The sequence below is a fragment of the Homo sapiens genome, chromosome 10 (genome assembly GCF_000001405.40).
Source record: "Homo sapiens chromosome 10, GRCh38.p14 Primary Assembly".
Lineage (NCBI taxonomy): Eukaryota > Metazoa > Chordata > Mammalia > Primates > Hominidae > Homo > Homo sapiens.
Window position 1 is genome coordinate 112,837,797 of NC_000010.11, and position 14,985 is coordinate 112,852,781.

The window sequence follows — 14,985 nt, forward strand, 5'->3', positions numbered from 1 at the left end:
GATGTCTTTGAAGTGCCAGGGTCAGATCAACTATCTGAATTTGGTTTGCCTCACAGTCATGAAATGAAACCACTTTTGGGTAACAGTAGAAAAGGGGAGGGAGGGAGTACCCAGCTCAATCCAGGCCTCGGCCAAGGGTTTGACCTGCATCATCTGATTAATCCTTAAAAGGGCCCTCTTACGAGGCAGCAACCTTCATGTTCTCCATTTTTGGATGGGAAAACTAAGGCCAGGATGCTGAAGTCATGGCACTATTCAGGACCGAGGCCAGTGTGAAGGCCCAGGCACACAGCTCAATGTCCTGGCCTGGTACTGAGTGCTTCTCCCTCTGCCCACGTGGCCTGGGAGGAAAAGACCCCAAGAGGGCTGGGGCCAAGCCCGCAAGGCAGGTGCTCCCCACTGCTCTGTGTATTCTGCTCCCAAGACAGCCCCAGGTGGCTGGGGCCAATCCCCAGGGAGGGCCTGGGACAGACCTCGGGTCCTCCTGGGGTCAGAGCCAGAGACTACTGCAGGTGGCTGCTAGGGGGTCCCAGGGACCTGGGAGCAGAGCCTTCTGCACAGACTGGGCAAACACCAGTACATGTGCCTGAAGGGAAGCAAATTTGAGTTACTGAAAAGTAAAAAGTGCTTATTGAGCTGCACATTATGTCATATATGGTGTAGATTACAACTGGGAATGATCCTGTATCAGATTTTTTCCCCCTAGACTAATTTGTATTTCATGTGTCCAGTATTTTATTGAAAGCATCAGGACACCCCCTCTTCTTAGTAACATAGGGCAGGAAGGGAGTAGGCAGGACGGGAAGGAACTCAGAGACCCTTCACTGCCCTTGCCTGTGGGTACCAGGTGACTTGAAGGGCAAGAACGGGGGCACAGAAGACGCTGGAGGGGCAGGGGGGTGGCAGAGAAGGAGCAGGCCTCGGTCACCGGGCAGCTCACTGCGCTTCCAGGCATCTGGCGCCACGGAAGTGCACTGCTCTAAAGGTTGTCAGATCTGGGTGAAATCCCGATCCTGCATCTCCCTAGCTGGGGGCTTCAGACAAGTTCCTTAACCTCCCTGAGCCTCACTTTGTCACCAGCGATGTGGATGATGGTGATACTGACTTTGCAGGGTTGCCATCACCATTTGACCAGATCCAGTCAGTCCCGCAGCCTGCAGAGTTTGCAGCTGATGCAAGAACGCCACTTTCTTCCCTGAGGGCTGCTGGCTGGGTCACCTCGCAGCTCAGCCCAAGGAGGGGGCCATGGGCAGCTACTGAGGCTGGTTCTGCTGGTTGCCCCTCCCTTGCTCACTGGTCAGGGATGGAGCTGGAGCCTTGTCTCAAGAGCAGGAAGAGCAGACACTGGGGATGGAGTCGAAACTCACTCATTCATCCATTCACAGGGTATTTCCTGAGCCCTGGCAGGGCCAGCCCCTTTCCCTCCTCAGGGGCTCACAGTCTGGCAGGGGAGGCTGACAACCCGCAAGCAATCGTGAGCCCTTGTCATTTCCCATTGTGAGAAGCACCGTGACAGTGATGGGGGTGGGGTCCCGGCCTGCAGGGGCAGCTGCTGAGCTGGAGGAGGTGACGCCTGAGCTGAGTCCCGAAAAATGCTGAGGAACCCGGTGGGGAGTTCCAGGCAGAGGGAAAGGCCAGGACGAAGGGCTGGAGGCAGGAAGGAGGCTACTTGGGGGAGCAGCCCGGGAAGGTCTGAGTGATGCCATCTGAGCTTTTTAAGGACTGCTGGCTGGTTGGGAGGGTTGGGGGGAGCATAGATGAAAGGGGGGACAAACATGGAATCAGAGAGACAAGGGTGGGCTCTTGGGGTTGATCCCAAGTGCTCCCCGCTGCCCCAAAGGGCGATTCTGAGTTAGGGGCACTGCTGCTGGTGGGCAGCCCAGGAGTCTTTCCTTCTCACTGCACCCCTACTCCTACCTCCACTCCAGTCCCCCTCCCCCATCATGATTTGCCAGACCTAGCACCCTAAGGCAAAGCAGGGCCACTTCCCTCTCAGGAGGGAGGAGCGCCTACCATCCTGCTGTCAATGGGACCATCTCCATGGGGCAGGGGTGGCAGGGGATAGAGGATGAGTGGTGACAGGCAGCTTGGTGTAGATCAGAATGGCCCAACTCCACATACCCAGTACAGCTGAGGGGCTTCAGGCACATTCCTGGACATCTTTGGGCCTCAGTTTCCTCATCTGTAAGTTGGACAGCTGTGAGGATAAAGAGCTGAGAGACTGGATACACAAATGGAGGAGGGCCAGGCTGTATATAAAAACAGGACTCTGCCCCACAGTCTGCAGCAACCTGGCCAGGAAACCAACCCCTTAGCTACACAAACAGCCCAGGAAGCCAGCTGGAATGACGGGAAGCCAGGCTGCTATCTCTGGTGAAATCCAGAAACTAAACAATAACCCCTGCCACAATCTACCATAAATGGCCAGGACTTGATTAACAGCTGACAGCTTCCCTAATTTTTGTCTCCATTTCCTACTTAGGACCATCCAGAGAAAGCCAAATATGCACCCCAACCAGTTAGATAGGATGCCCCCTTCTAGTTATCCCACCCACGAGTCCCCCAACCCAACAGCCTCCACTCAGGGCACACCGAAGGCTTCCCACTCCTCTGCCTGTCTCTGAGTCTCTGCCAAAACACAAGTGATGGTGGCTAGGCTAACTCCTTTGCTACAGCAAACTCAGAACAAATAGCCTTCGCTTGTTCTCATTGGCTGCTATCATTTATTTCCACAATGCCGAGGCATGAAAAGCTCCTACTGCTTCCCTAGCACTCAACAGGTGCTTAGTGAGGTTCTGTCCCTACCCATTGAGACCCCCTGGGCAGCTGCCCCACTGCCTGCTTGCCCAAGAGTTTCCAAACCCTGAGCTGTGAGGTAGGCACAGGTGCCCTAAGAATTGGCTGGTTCCCAGAACAACTAGACCCCTGGGGGGAAAGTGAGCCTAATAAAATTCTGTATTTCTTTATGTATGGTATTGAGGGGGTGGGATTAGGGAGAGGCTATATTTTGGGGAAGGAGGCCACTAGTATAATGGGAAGAGAGTGGGTTTTGCCTGGGTTCAAATCCCAACCCCATGCTAGCTCTTGGCCTTGGGTGACAGTTGTCTTAGTTGTTAAGCGGAGAAGACTAAATGAGCTAATTGGGGTTAGATGCTTAGCACGACACCTGCCATCTAGGACATGTGCCTTCAACAGAAACTAGCAGCCAGAAGTGGTGGTGATAATGTGCGGCCATCTCAGCCAGCACCAAAGTGAGAGGCCAAAGGTTCAGAAAACTGTTCAGGAGGATGCATGTAGGCACACCCCCCAGAGCGAACCACTTTCTGGAGTCCTCAGCGCACTAGCTTCACCCCAGGGCTTTCCTAGGGGATACTAAAGACACTGCGGGACTCCTGGGATCTGCAGCTGTGACCCTCTCCCCAACTAGGCCCCCACCTCAGTGGAAGCAAAGGTAGTTTCCCAAAGGGCTAACAGGGTAAGTGACATTCTATCACAAGGTGTGGGTCCCAAAACCATTAGTGCATCATCCCATGTATGAAGGCTAGATGAGGGTGTTCTGGAAAACAACCGAATTGCTGTTCATCCATACTTAGTCTTTATATTTTAATAGGAGGCAAAGCCCTGAGTCCAGAGAAACTCTATTAATGTAGGCTTTCAGGCAGTTTGGATACAAAGAAATTACCCTTGATTGAGAGAAGAGGGGCGTTGGGAGCCACACCACCAAGATGGTGCAAGGGGCATTGGTCATGCAGCTGGCCAACATCAGAGCCCACTAGAGGACCCTCTTGCTGCCAGGGACCAGGGAAAGTGGGCGTCTGAATCTGGAGCTGTCATCACAAAATAGAAAGGTGGTGAAGAATTCATTCCAGCCCTGCCCATGGCAGTCACAGCCACTTTCAGAGGAGCAGCACCAGATGTGGGGTGCGGCACTCTATGGTGGGGGCAGTGGGAGCTCAGTCACCAGGGTTTGGCAGCATCCCCGGTGGCATCCACTGAGTAGGGTGTAGTTTCCAGGAACAGTCTTCTGCCCTCTTGATAATTCTATCGCTCCGCAATAGTCTTCCAATAAATCCCGTCTCTGCTAAACCAGTGGCTTGCCACTAGGAATCTGCTCTGATGCAGCCCACAAGCCCAAGGCCGGTGGAGGCAAGAGAATGATTACAAAAAGCAAGCAACATAGTTGATTTTAATTTCATGACATGGTTTCCAACAATTGGATACAGAAACAAGGAGTTCTTTTCTTTTTTTTTTTTCCTTTTTTTTTTTTTTTTTTTTTTTTTTTTTGAGACGGAGTCTCACCCTGTCTCCCAGGCTGGAGTGCAGTGGTGCAATCTCGGCTCACTGCAACCTCCGCCTCCCAGGTTCGCAGAAACAAGGAGTTCTTTAAAATGAGATGCCTGTTACCAGATGGAAAAGTGATAGGGTTTCCACAGTAGGGTTAGGATTAGGGAAATGTGGCTTACATATTCTCATGCTTTCATGAGACCTGCCCCACCCTGCTTCCCCCATCCTGGGGAGGCTGGAGAACTCATCTCTGATCACTCACCTTGGCTTCCCATTACAGCCAGGTGTTTACTAGCTCACATCAAAGTAGCCAGCCTGCCATGGGACACATTTCAGCTTGGCTGTGCCTTGCTTACAAGATCACATGAATCTCCTTATTTGAGATCCTGAGGTCCAAGGATGAGAACTGGTCCAGGTCAGCAGGCCTGGCTTCCAGCCCCAGCTCTGGGACTAACTGGCACTACTCTCCTCTCTGGGCCTCAGTTTTTCCCATCAATAAAATGAAAAGAACCAAGCTGTTTCTGTATAAAGGTCCTTCAGCTCCAAATTCTATGATGCTATTATTCTGATTATTTGGCAGTCTCCCTGTCATTGCTTCCTTTTCTGCACTCCGTGTAGGTGGATCACAGACATAACACAGAAAACGGGGAGCAAATGCAGCAAGCATCCACCTTTCATGTTTGGCAACATGGAGAATATCCATCTTGCAACCAAGTTCTGTTCCCTGCCCTTAAGGTGTTAATGGAACTGTAGCTGTCAGGGGGGTTGGTCATGAAAACAGAAGCCACTCTGGGTATTCCAAGTAGGAAGGGTTCCAATACAGGGAATTGGATACTTACACAATCACTGGAAAGGCTGGGGAAACAAAGGTCAGGCCAGCAGCTGCCAGAGACTGGTGATTTACGGGAGCTCACCCAGAAGCTGCAAAGAACCCAGCAGTCTCAGTGGTGGCTGCAGCCACCAACCTCAACAGCTGGAAGCACCAGAGCATGCGATTCTCAAGGCTTTGGGTTTTACCCATGGGTCAAGCTGCAGCTGCCCCCAGAGAATGACAGTGATTCTCCTTCTTCGCCTCCCAATTCTCCCAGCAGTGCCTCTCATTGGCTGACTCTAATGTGAAGCTGTACAGGGAAAGGGATTCTGGGAAATGCAGTTCCAGGCTTCTCCCCTGAGATGCAGACTGTAGAAGTGTGTGACCATGATGCTAAGGACAACATTCAGCAAAGCCACAAACCAGGAAGAGCAGAGAGATTTTATCTGAAGGGCCAGCTCCTGGTTCATTGGTAATGGCTGACCAGAGTACTGTGTGGAAAATAATTTTGAGGCTGTATATAGGATGAGCAGGAAAAGGTGGTACGACTGATTAGCAATGCCTGTCATGGGTGTGGAATTAATGTGAGGAATCGTATGCAACACACTTGCACTCCTGCTCTAAACTGATGATTGGAAAGTTCTCTAAAGTGACTGCTAACAGCGTTTATTTCTTTTGTCCCTGAGTCAAACATATACGTTGTAACCATCTATGTGTGGAGTTAACACCCATAAACCTGGTGCTCAAGAGGGACCTCAGAATTAGAGCAGCTAATGAAAAACAGGGCAGGAACATTGAGGAAGCCGTGGGGGTCTCCAGCCTCCTGGAACTCTGCTCTTCACAGTCCACACAGTCACGTTCCTCAAGGTCATCATGTGGTCAGCTCTTTCATAACCACCCCCAATCCCCTGTCCTTATCTCATTTCACTTCTAAGCTTCCAGGCCCAGCTCCTCCAGGCCTACCACGTGATCTTAGAGAAGCCTTCCCCCACCCCATCTCCAGTTAATTACTTCCCCTCTCTGTACCTTGGTTTCCTCATGGGCATATTTAGGAGTTGGGTTAGATCCATGGTTTGCAGACTGTGTGCCCAGGAGCCCTGGGGTGTTCAGGAGGAGGAAGGTTAGAGGAATGCCAAGGCATAGGGCTTTGAGAGGCATTATTTTATCTGTTTTAGATATTGTGCTTTGGCTTAAGATGTCATCTGAAAAAAAAGGGAAAAGGGTCTGCTGCTATAAATAAAAATTAAAGGCTCAAGAACCTCTGGATAAACAAAAGGCCCCCCTGGAGTCCTTCCAGATATACCATTCTCTGGTGCTGCTTGTTTTGTCTCCCTCTAAAACACCAGCTCTTCTTCTCTTTCCACTTCCTTTCCTCATTTCTTTTCCCATCCCCTGTCTTCCAAAGAAATGAGTTGCAAATCTCCATCTTAACTTCCAAACTTGAGTTGAGAACCAAACATGAAGCCTGGATCTTTTCATTATGAGAGGCTCTGAGGTCATGGAAAGGAGAAGGGGACGATAAAGCCAAGACGGAGTCTTGCTCTGTCGCCCTGGCTGGAGTCAGTGGTTCAATCTCGGCTCACTGCAATCTCCACCTCCCGGGTTGAAGCGATTCTCCTGCCTCAGCCTCCCGAGTAGCTGGGATTACAGGTGCCCACCACCACGCCCGGCTAATTTTCGTATTTTTAGTAGAGACGGAGTTTCACCATGTTGGTCTGGCTGGTCTTGAACTCCTGACCTCAGGTGATCCACGCATCTCAGTCTCCCAAAGTGCTAGGATTACAGGCGTGAGCCACCACGCCTGGCGTGTAATCCTTTTTTATAATTGAAAATCACATTGAACCATGGAAAATGTAGTTTGACATCCTAGAGTTGAGAGATATTCACCCTTTCCCTCCTCTTAACTGTGCAGCGCAAAATTTCGAGAAATGAGAACATGCTGCTTTGAGTTGTTGTTTTTAATGTCACTGCGATGACTGGACAGTTTTTATTATTGTTGGCAAGAAAAGGCAGGAGGAACCATTCACATAGGGTTTTCTGCTCAAAATGTACTTTGGAGTTCCATCTTGGGGAATAGGAACCCTTCTGTTCCTCTTCCCGCTGCAGTTTCACCGAGGTCCCACTGATGTCAACTCCAGAGGACTATGACCGTGTCAGCCGTAAAATATGTCGGTTCGGGAAGAGGACAAGTTCATTTTCATTATTCCCTGGCGGAGAGAAAGGGCAGAGTTGGTGTGAGGCCTGGGAGGGCGTGTTTGAAGAATGGTGGCCCGAGTCCACCATTCCACGCCTGCTCTGCGGGGTCCTCTGGCTGGGGTCTTGCCTGGACGTGGCAGAAACCCGCACCCAACGGCCTTTCTCTGCACAAGTTGGGGCAGGACGGCCAGGCAGACACAGAGCATGCACAGACCTCGCCTGCTGATTGGCTGAATCCTGGGGGCAGCACATTCTCCCATTGGCTGTTCCAGGTTGGCACAGGTGGCTGGAGAGGGCGGGGCTTGTGGTCCGCAAATCCACCTGTCTCACCTGTTCTCTGGTTCCCGAATTCCCCCACCAAGGAAGAGGGGCTGCCTGGACTTCATTAATGCCTGGCTCTAGAGAAATGCTTTCAGAACTAACTTGCGCAGCAGCGACCCTCTCCCCGGGAGGAAAAGTAACCCACAAACGGGAGAAGCGGTAGCTTCGTCTCTCCTGAGAGCTCCTTGGAGACAGATTTCAGGGCACTGAGGGCTGAGCTGGAGGAAAAGCCTCCGCGGGAGGAGGAGGAAAGTCAGAGCTGTTTCACTCAGGACGAGCCCCAGGTTCTCCCAAGGTGGAGCTGATGACCAAAAGACAAAAGTGGGGGGCCGGACATGGTGGCTCACGCCTGTAATCCCAGCACTTTGGGAGGCTGAGGCAGGCAGATCATTTGAGGTCAGGAATTCGAGACCAGCCTGGCCAACATGGTGAAACCCCGTCTCTGCTAAAAATACAAAAATTAGCCGGGCGTGGTGGCACGCACCTGTAATCCCAGCTACTTGGGAGGCTGAGGCAGGAGAATCACTTGAACCCGGGAGGCGGAGGTTGCAGTGAGCCAAGATCACACCACGACACGCCAGCCTGGGTGACAGAGCGAGGCTCTGTCTGAAAAGAAAAGAAGACAGAGGTGGGAATTTTGATGTCCTTTCTGGAGAAGAGAAGAGGGCTCGAGGCAGAGCCTGGCAGGATGGGAACTTGCGTAACAGATAGGAGAGTTTACTCCCAAAATAAGCGAGTCATCTTCCATCCTGTTCACCATTTATTTTGGGGGTCTTTCCCCAGGCACCAAGGCCTGAATCCTATTATCAGAACTTTCATGTTCTGTTGGATCTCCTCTTGAACTGCATTTCCCCTAAAAGGGGCATAAGAAGTCCCATCTTACAGAAATGGATACCTCATGGCCTTGGGAGTGGCTGATGTGTGCACAAGCTGGACAGGCGGGAGATTGGCACAAGCACGCACTGTTGATATTGGAACAGCACTGGCCAATAAAACTTTCCGTGATGATGTTCAATAGAACTAACTCGTGCTATGTAATAGTGTATGGCAACTGAGCATTTGAAATATGGCCAGTGGGCGGGATGTGGTGGCTCACGCCTGTAATCCCAGCACTTTGGGAGGCTGAGGCGGGCTGATCAACAGGTCAGGAGATCAAGACCATCCTGGCCAACATGGTGAAACCCCGTCTCTACTAAAAGTACAAAAAATTAGCTGGACATGGTGGCGGGCACCTGTAGTCCCAGCTACTCAAGAGGCTGAGGCAGGAAAATCGTGTGAACCCAGGAGGCGGAGCTTGCAGTGAGCCGAGATCGCGCCACTGCACTCCAGCCTGGGTGACAGAGCGAGACTCCGTCTCAAAAAAAAAAAAAAAAAGAAAAAAGAAATATGGCCAGTGGAACTAAGGAACTGGGTGTTTAATTTTAATAGCCAAATTGTCTACTGGCTACCATATTGAACAGCGGTGATTCTAGAAAGTCTAACTTGGAAGAGACCCAAGATATACTTTGGTTCAGGAAGTCTCACCAGGTGAAGACTCCAGGAGGAATGCAGCCCTGCCAATGCCTTGATTTAGACTTCTGACCTCCAGAACTGTAAGATAATAAGCCTGTATTGTATTAAGCCACTAGTTTTGGTAATTTGTTACAGTGGCAATGGATAGCTAACACAGCTACTGTTGGAAGGGTTGGCTCCTGCTGTCACCAGGATCCAAAGAATTGAGAGAAATGGATGACAGGAGCTTATTTCCTTCAAATTATGTTTGTTTCTTCTGTTGAACAGTGTCCTCCAGCTGCGGGGTCTCTCCTCCCTCAGTAAGTTTTTGACTGTTGTGTGGGATTCCTCTTTGGTAGTTGGAGCAGCCGCTAATCTCCCTTGGTGCTCTAGAGAGCTGACCATCACCCCCTATTTCCCTTTACCTTTTTCCCAAGAGGCCTCAGGCACTTCAAGCAGACCGAATTTCCTAGGATTTGTCTTAATACTCCAGAGTTCTCCTTTAACACCTAACTTTCCCACTCTCTTCTATGTCACCTCTTCCTTCTATCCCCTCAAAAGTCTGACAAGCAAAGCCAGAAACTCAAGCAAGAATGGGAATCAAATTTCTGTTTCCCATCAGGAGCAAGGAGGGTTGCCCTCTGATTCCCAGGATTACAAGAGCCACTGAATCACTCAACCTTTCCCTGTTTCTACAGTTTGAGCAGGCTCTAAAGGCTACATTCTACATGCAGCTCCTTCTTGCTGCCAAGAAAGAAGACCAGGCCCTGACTTCATCTAGAGATCCTCAGGGAACATTCTTTCCTAATCATCCTGAGAATCTTTCTGATCATCACAGCACCCACCATTCACCATGCCAAATGAGATAACTTAGTTATTCTCTCTTACAAACCCTATGCTTTTGTGTACCCTCATTTATTCATTCTACCATTGAACATTTCCCTAGAATCTCTTGGGTGCCAGACACTGTGCCTAGTTACTGAAGAAACATATCTCCTATCTGAGGCACCAGGCATATAAGTAAAGAAGAAACCATCTTGGACAGTCAAGCACACACCAGATAGAGCGGAAGAACCACCCAGCTAAGCCCAATCCAAAATGCTGAATCATGAGAAAAAAAATAATAAACTGTTGTTTTAGGCAACTAAGATTTGGGGGTAGTTTTTTACACAACAATAGCTAATTGAAACATTCCCAGACACAACCGCCATCATGAGACTTTAGGTCTTGTCTTTTTGTTTCAACAGGCTCTTCCCAGCTTCTTGGCCAGCTCTCCCAATCCCCTCCTTGTCAGTTGCTTGTAGTTCTGTAACTGGCAGCAGTGCTGGGATCACCTGCCCAACCAGTTCTTTGTGTGGCCAGGTGTAATTAATTAACTAGCCATTTCTGGGCCCCAGACTGGAGATGCCATTGGTCTTCAATCTCCTCCTTTGATGAGGAGCCCTTGAGCTGGACCCATTAAGGGATAGGCAACGATGACTAGGGCAATTCCAGACACAGAACCCCACCCCTGCTGTCAGTTACAGATGACCTGATGACACAGTCCCTGGCAAATGACCCTGGTCAGACCTTGGAGAGCAGAGAAACCTCAAGAGAGACTTCCAGCAAATGGGGAGTCTCATGAGAAACAACAGAAGTGATCATATTTAATATCACAGGCTGGAGACACAGATCATGGCAGTTACAGGAAACCATACGTTTTCTGTGGATAAGGTCTCCTGGCCTATTACCTTATTCAAGAAACAATTCAATTATTCAGTCCAGCAAACACTTGTTAATTCTTGATGACCACAACCAGAAAGGGAAGCCAGAGAAGCAAAAAAGTGATTATGATGCCTTTTGATAGTGTAGAAACAGAAGTACATACGGAGCCCAGAGACTGCCCTGAGGAGGAAGGGAATGATAATTTCTGGGGGTATTCAGGAAGGCCCCCAGGAGGAGGTGACCATTGAGATGGATTTTGAAGGGCAAATAGGAGTTCACTAGCCATAAAGGGTAGGGGGTCATCTTTCATGGTTGGTAGCCATGATTTGTGGGTGGGTCTACCTGGTTTAAAAACAGAGGAGCAAAGCCAACTTTCTACATGCAGTTCCCAACATGCACACATATTGATCTGATGGTGGGGTGAGGCCAGCTTCTGGACCCATGACCAACTTTGGAGGTCATGACACCCACTGAGGTCTTGGCAGGAAGCAGCCTTAGAAGGCACAAGTGCTGGTGGAATCGACCAGTTACAAAAGTTATCAACACTATGTGAGTTTTTGTACATGGTGTAGCAAGACAGAAGGAACCAAGGAAGAACAAATGGAAAACAACACATGCTAAGCTGTTCATCTGCAACTGTTAAGACTCCAAGTGGTGGCAGTGCCAGCTCAGAGCCCTCCACCTGCTGGAGATGTTTCTAAATTGTCTTCACACATGGGCATTCATCCCGCAGTGGGGCTCTCTCTGCCTGAGCCCTGAGGTAAGGTTACAAGTCCTGAAACCCCATTTGTGGAGACGACCCCTCTAGGGAGCTGGAGCCTGGGGCAACCTCGCTCCTTCCTCCACAGTGAAATAGACTGAACCTCCAGCACACTGACCAGCACAGGTCTTGAATGGTGACTCCTGGTCTAGGGCTGGTCCCTTCTTAGAAAACCCGCCTTTCGATGATGGAGGGCTCTGCCTGGGTATCCATTGGAGGGGGCAGCCCTGAGGAAGGAATTACCCCTCTGAAAAGAGCTAATGTCATTCTTGTCACTTTAAATTAACTCTAGCCAAGAGGGACTGACAGAAACATGGATCTGGGTGAACTATATTTGACTGATATTCTGTCAAATATTGCATGGGGTTGTGATCCGCAACTTTTCCCATCTGCTGCTCCAGTCTGAGTCGCTGAATGCACAATGGCATCATTACCATATTTTGTTCAGATTTCCCTCCATCGGATCAGAGCCTGTGAATGTGAAATGTGCCCACAGAAAAAGGCAGCCCTGGCGAGGTGGGTGCAAGGGCGAGGGTGTCCCTTAGTTCTTCCTAAGGGGAGAGCTGGGAAGGGGTAGGGCTCCCCCGGAAGGCGTCCCGGCCCTCACCCAGGAAGGTGCACATCCTGGAAACAAAAGAGGAAGGTGGTGGATCAGGAGTAAGGAGTGGGATTAAGATCACACAAACCTGCAGCCTTTAGAAACTAGCTTAATCCATTTTATAAAGAGTTGGGAGGGTTTTTCTCTCCGTGAATATAATACCTTGCACATCTGATCAGCGTTTTTCCCAGAACATTTCAAAGCTCTCTGCAAATACAGCAAAGTCTCCTTAGATTAGAGCACGGCCTATTATTACCTGGCTTTGGAGACACCCCAGGTCAGCGGGTCACCTGGGGCCTTCTGAAATAAGACAATTCCCTACAACAAAAAGCCTGGTGTGATGTGGTTTGTCTAACTAGTGGTTTTCGAACTATGTGAGTCATGGCACCTTTAAAGGAAAAAAAAAAAAAGAAACAGCCTGAAGCTCAATTTCTAATTCAGAACAAAGTGAAATTAGGTTAAAGTAAAGGGTAAAGAAGAGGGTGAGGGGGAGCAAAGAGAGGTCCACCTGACACCCCATTCACTAAACCCCCAAGACTCCCAAGACCACAATTTGAAGACTACTGTGGAGGTCACTCCTTCCCCAACCAGAAGCAGATTTTCTGTGAAGTTAATGAAACTTAAGTTTCTGCAGAGCACCTTCTGTTCCTAGGTACCTCTTCCAAGACTTGGAACTTAATTTTATTTCTCTTATTTTGTGTTGTTTTTAAAATGAGGGCCCCCCAAATCATATAAGTGTCACAAAAGACCAGCTACATAATTTGGGCAGCCAAGTGCAAAATAAAAACGTGGGGCCCTTTGTTCAAAAACAACTAAAACTTTGAAGATAGCAACACCAGCGCCTTCTTGGCACAGGGCCCTGTGCAACTGTGCAGGTGGCATGTCCATGAAGCCGACCCTGATTTCATGCCCTACGAAACCTGGATCTGCCCCTTTCCCCAACTTTCCAAAGAAATGCCAGTTGATTCAAATAAACCTCAGCCTCTCCTGAGAATTCTCTTATGCCCTAGTGTGTCAGATTAGTCCACCTTGCAGCACCTGAGACTGAAGCTCCTCCCAAGACAGAGGCGCATGTTTCCTTCCGAACTCTGCTTTCACATGGAAGATTGGCTTTAAGATGAAGGCCTGCATTTGCAAACAGAAACTATAGCAGACACATAAAATCCATTGTATTTTCAGGCATTCAGATTGGAGCAGAACTTAAGAGAGTGTGTGGGGTGATCCTAAAAGTCTCAGAGCATTTGACTGAATCATTTCAAGGTGCTCCTTCAGAGCCTGGGCCACATGCATTCCTTTTCTGGGTCGCCTGTGATATTAGGGCAATGATAATGATTGAAAACGTGTCTGTTGAGTAAACATAGCCTCTCTTCCAACTAGACAATGTGCTCATGGCACATTGACATGATATGTGTCATACTCATGGTAATTGACAAACCTTCATATGCTTCTTCCCCTGCCCAGAAAGATCTTTCTAGTACCTCCTTCAATCGAGATTCTGTCTACACGCTGAACCCCTGTGGAAGTGGCACCTTCAGGCAGCCCTGCCTTTGAGATGAAGTAGGCTGCTCTGTTTGGGAAGTAAGGGGTGCCCCTTCCTCAAGGGTGTTTGGGTTAAGGCTGGACATCAATTAGTGAGCACACCCAGCAAAGTCCACCCAGGAAAAAGAAACCAGAAAGTATTGAAAACAGAGGGATGTGAGCGCAGGAATTGGTTTTTGCAGGAGATGGAAGAGCTGAGAAGCCATACAGGGGCTTCTGAACTGAAGCTTCTGAACTAGGGAGACGCATTTGAACTTGAGAACTGTAGGGAACCTTTCCAGCTCAGGGAGGGGCACTTGGCAGGAACACTCTTTACTTTCCACCACACTTCATATGATAATGGCCGTAGGAAGACTGTTTCTCAACCTCAGTGAAATTACACTGAAAAATCTTTCCATTGAATATTTAATATCCCACCATGTTAATTTTTCTTTATAACTTAAGAGAATGTTGTGTTTTCTGACTTGCAGATTCACTTCCTTTTATGAGACAAAAGAAAAAAATAAAATGAAAATGAGAATTATATAACCAATCATGTTTCCTTTTTTGCCTTAGCTACCAGGAAGCTCTAAGCTAAATTTGAAACTTCCCAGATTTTTAATTATATACCATCCCATTTTATATTTCTTTAAATTCACAATTTTTAAGTTAATACTCTCATGGATTAAATATGTTATAATATAAGACACCTCAAATACTTCTGAGTAGATAAAGTATACTGTGGCTTCTTTTAAATTTTAGATGATTCCAATGATTCCTACACCTCTAATTCTTCCCCATGTTTGGTCCCTATCTGCTCCCCTTCCCCCACAAAACTTCCTAGTGATTTGTCATTTTCCCACGTTGAGAAAGCCACAGGCCCTCCCCACTTCTCCATGGCACTCTCTTGCTCTTAAATTATTGCTGTATCTCTTTCACTTCCCAATTCTCTGCCTTCTTTGGAGATTTCCTCTCCAGCAGGGCATGAACCCTTTCTAAGCAGTGCCAGCATCATGGGGCCCACTAAAGAGGAAGCCGCAAGTCTGGACAGAGAAGTGAAGGCTCCTGAGGTGGGGGTTGGCACGTGGGCATTATTGGCAGCCCTTCTGGGCTTTGGGTCACTGACCTGTGCCACTCACCTTTTGTGACCAATGGATGTCTATGGTGCATATCTGCTTCGCAGTGCAGTGTCCCCTCCTTTGCTCTTGGTAACAGCACCCCAGTTTTCCTCTGGGGATTGCTCCTCTCCCATTGCATTCAGTCTGGATAGGACTGTCTTTCTTGGTTTTGTTTTGTTTTGTT

General features: G+C 48.9%; 1 protein-coding gene across 2 annotated transcripts in view; it reads left to right on the top strand.

The window, feature by feature from the left end:
- The window catches only part of VTI1A (vesicle transport through interaction with t-SNAREs 1A), a 408,381-nt gene that overhangs the window by 390,809 nt on the left and 2,587 nt on the right, over window positions 1-14,985 (top strand). The gene's annotated exons all lie outside the window — the stretch shown is intronic.